Genomic DNA, 4,078 nt, shown 5'->3' on the forward strand with positions numbered 1-4,078 from the left:
AAGCAAATATTTTCTGACTTGGCAAATTTGCTTCAAAGAATTTGATCCAAGAAAATAATTAGACATCTAACACCTCAAGTACAAGAATATCCACTGCAGAGTTTTTTAATTGTGAAAAACAATACTGGCTGGGCGTGATGGCTCACGCCTGTAATCCAGCACCTTGGGAGGCCGAGGCAGGTGGATCACCTGAGGTCAGGGGTTCAAGACCAGTCTGGCCAACATGGTGAAACCCTGTCTCTACTAAAAATATAAAAATTAGCTGGACGTGATGGTGCATGCCTGTAATCCCAGCTACTTGGGAGGCTGAGGCAGGAGAATCACTTGAACCCAGGAGGCAGAGGTTGCAGTGAGCCGAGATCATGCCACAACACTCCAGCCTGGGTGACAGAGCAAGACTCCTTCAAAAAAAAAGAAAGAAAGAAAGAAAGAAAGAAAGAAAGAAAGAAAGAAAGAAAGAAAGAAAGAAAGAAAGAAAGAAAGAAAGAGAAAGAAAGAGAGAGAGAAGAAGGAAGGAAGGAAGGAAGAAAGAAAGAAAGAAAGAAAGAAAGAAAGAAAGAAAGAAAGAAAGAGAAAGAAAGAAAATACTGAAATAACTTAAATATTCAATCAGAGGAAATGAGTAGGTAAATTATAGTAAATTATAAAATGGAATATCTTTTATATTTCAAAACTTACTTTAGAATATTATTTAATGATATGCAAAATAGTTTTATTGGCATGAAACATCATATTACGCTAAGTGAAAAATTTAAGTTCAAAGTCATAGATTGAGAAAAACTCATTTATCTCCCCTCACTCCAAAATAAAAGCAATAAAGTATAGAAATATGTTATAGGAAAAAGTATAAAAGAGAAGAAAAGAACATAATTGTCAAATACTGGATGGAGAATATTAACAAAATAAGATTTTAAGGCCGAGGCAGGCAGATCATGAGGTCAGGAGATTGAGACCATCCTGGCTAACACAGTGAAACCCTGTCTCTAATAAAAATACAAAAAAATTAACCAGTCGTGGTGGTGGGCACCTGTAGTCCCAGCTACTCGGGAGGCTGAGTCAGGAGAATCCCTTGAACCCAGGAGGCGGAGCTTGCCATGAGCCGAGATTGCGCCACTGCACTCCAGCCTGGGTGACAGAGCGAGAATCCGTCTCAAAAAAATAACAATAAATAAATAAATAAGATTTTATGAGTTTCTCAAAGACCGGAGATGGATATGGCCAAGGTGATTTAATGTAAATCAGAGCGAAAAGAGACTAGCTCAATAGAGGTAGAAGAGAAAGCAGCAGGTGAGGCAGGGTCATTTTTATAGCATTCTATAAGCCCTTAGAGATGTAGTCAAAGCATGAGAAAGTGCTTAAAGTAAGACAACTGATTGAAGAACTGTATGTCCAATGGCTGCTGAGTCACACATCGCACACATGAGTATGTGTAAGGAAAGTGCCTATAAAGTGAAGCTGAATGAACTATCAGCCTAGGATGGGCAATGGCTTTCAGAGTACAGGCTGCCAGCTTGCTTATCTTAGAGTACAGCCTGCCTGTCCACATACCACACCCACAAACAGAAATCTTGCAGTCTTTGTATGCAGGGAAAAGGAAACTACTATCAGAAGAAATGTTAGTCAGTTACAGGTAATAATCAACATTTCTAAATTCATAATCATCTCGGACAACTGAGTATCAGCAGACATTTGATTAAAAAGAAAAGCAAAAGGCTCTGGCAAAGACAATTCTATAGATTTATCAAGCCATTTTATCATCCTCTGGGGAGTACAGAAAAACTACATTTCCCAGTATCCTTACATCTAGATTGGGCCTGATGACCAATTCTAAACAGGGGAATGCAGTAGAAACATAAGCCACCCAGGTTTGGCCAGAAACACAAAATCTCCTACATGTGATACTCCTCTCTCACTTTTTGCAGCAATAATGGGAATCCTAGAGTAGTGGTGCTCTGCATCTCTGAGTCATCCCTTATAGGAAAGTTGCCCCGGAGAACTCTCTGACCAGGATGATACGCATTGGCCTTTATGTGAGGTGAAAGCAAAACAAGAAAACTTACATTGGATTAAGGCACTAAGAATTTTGAGATTATTTGTAATAGCAGGTAGCATTAATTATTCTTACTAATATAGCAAAATAAAAGAGAAACACCAAGATAATTAAACAGAATATTGACCCCAGAGGAAACATATATAATTTTAGGAAAAGACAAAAACTTTAATTGAATTATAAGTCTAATTTTTCTTTTTTAAAATTTTGAGGCTGGGTGAAGTGGCTCACACCTATAATCTCAGCACTTTGGGAGGCGGAGTCAGGCGGATCACCTAAGGTCAGGAGTTTAAAATCAGCCTGATCAACATGGTGAAACCCCATCTCTACTAAATACAAAAAAAAAAAAAAAATTAGCCAGGCTTGGTGGCGCATGCCTGCAATCCCAGCTACTTGGGAGGGTGAGGTAGGAGAATTACTGGAACCCAGGAGGTGGAGGTTGCCATGAACTGAGGTCGTGCCACTGCACTCCAGCCTGGGCAACAGAGCAAAATTCCAACTCAAAAAAAAAAAAATTGAGAAAACGTTATATTTATTTATTTAAAAAAAGAGTAAAATGAAAAAGAAAAAGAATAAGGGACAGTTGACATAAGTTAAAAATTATTGCTTAAATGATAATTTCAGGAGAAAAGCTATTAATAGAAAACATATAAATCACAAACAAAAAAAAAGGATGAAAAGCAGTCAGGGGAAAGGTAAGCACAGTAGATAAATATTTTTTACATATTCTTATACAACTTCAGAATAGAAATGATAAAAAGAAAACCCTACAAACTGCAGAAAAAATAAATAAAACAAATTATCATGGGCAGAATTGAATCAGATTGGCAGCTGACTTCATACCAGCAACATTAAGTACTAGAAGTAAATGAAGTCAGGACTTCAGTCAGACTATAAAAGAAAATGTTTTACATCTCAAATACTATAACTAACCAAAATATTAATAAAGCATTAAGATAGAATAAAGTCATTTAATACAGACAGAGATGAAAGTTTTTCTATAAAGTGTATTAAAATATGAATTCCAGCACACACAAAAAATGTAGTCCTAAGGGAAAAAAAGCTGAAGATAAGAAATCAAAGTACAGTGAAACAAACTCCAAAATTCAGTAAAATTAAATCTCAGGATGGCCAGGATGTTGGTTCTGTGGTAAAACCAGGGAATAAGAAGTTCATATTAGAACAAGAAGTAAGAGCATTCTGCTAGAATATCTTAAGGAAGAAAATAAAATTTTTTAGGAAGAAATAGCATGCTAAGGAGGATGAATGATCTTAGTGAGAAAGTGAATGGATGCTCCATCCCGGGACTTTCTCCATGAGCCCATGTGCAAGGCCGCTCCAAAGACATCAATGGAAGTGCTACATGGGCTCAGTTACATGGACTTCCTTTGCAAGGCTAATAGGAGGTTATCAGCACCAGCAAAAGGAGATACTAAAGTTTAGTCCCCATCATAGCACCATTCTCAGGTGTTTAAGGAGATCTCCCAGAAGCCTGATTACTTTGAATCCCTTCTATCTATCTATCATTAGGGAGACATAACTTAATTTCACAGGAGTATGTACATATTCTCAAGAAGAATTTTCCTTCCTTACCCACAATGTTTCTGTCAGCACCATCATTCTTGGACTTATTGAATGACTTATTCATCATTTTGACATCATCTCTGACCAAAGAACATATTTTATGGTGTTGTAAGTGTAGACGTAGACTTACGCACATAGAATTATCTGGTTTTATCATGTGCCACACCACCTAGAAGCAGCTTGATTGGTAGAAAGACAGAATGGCCTGCCAATGGGTCAGTGAGGAGACCACCCTCTGAGAGGTTGGGGCACTGTTCTATAGTAGTGTTATATGCCCTAACCTAGTGGACAATATATTGCTTTATCGCTCATTGCCAGAACACTCAGGCCCAGGAAACAAAGAGTGGAGATAGGGATAGATTCTTCCTATCACACCTTAAGTGGACCACTTAAGGAATTTTGCTTCCTTTCCCATACCTTGTACTAATTTCTATCCAAGGGAGA

The 4,078-nt window shown here is 37.6% G+C and overlaps 1 annotated feature.

Moving 5' to 3' along the window:
- Positions 1,285-1,986: a transcriptional cis regulatory region, noted in NCBI's record as "candidate enhancer chr7.5168 targeted for multiplex CRISPR interference". NCBI's record gives its function as "positively regulates EPHB6 gene expression with high confidence in K562 cells {active_cell/tissue: K562}" and the evidence as "EXISTENCE:mutant phenotype evidence [ECO:0000015][PMID:30612741]".

The sequence above is a fragment of the Homo sapiens genome, chromosome 7, assembly GCF_000001405.40.
Source record: "Homo sapiens chromosome 7, GRCh38.p14 Primary Assembly".
NCBI classification, from domain to species: Eukaryota; Metazoa; Chordata; class Mammalia; order Primates; family Hominidae; genus Homo; species Homo sapiens.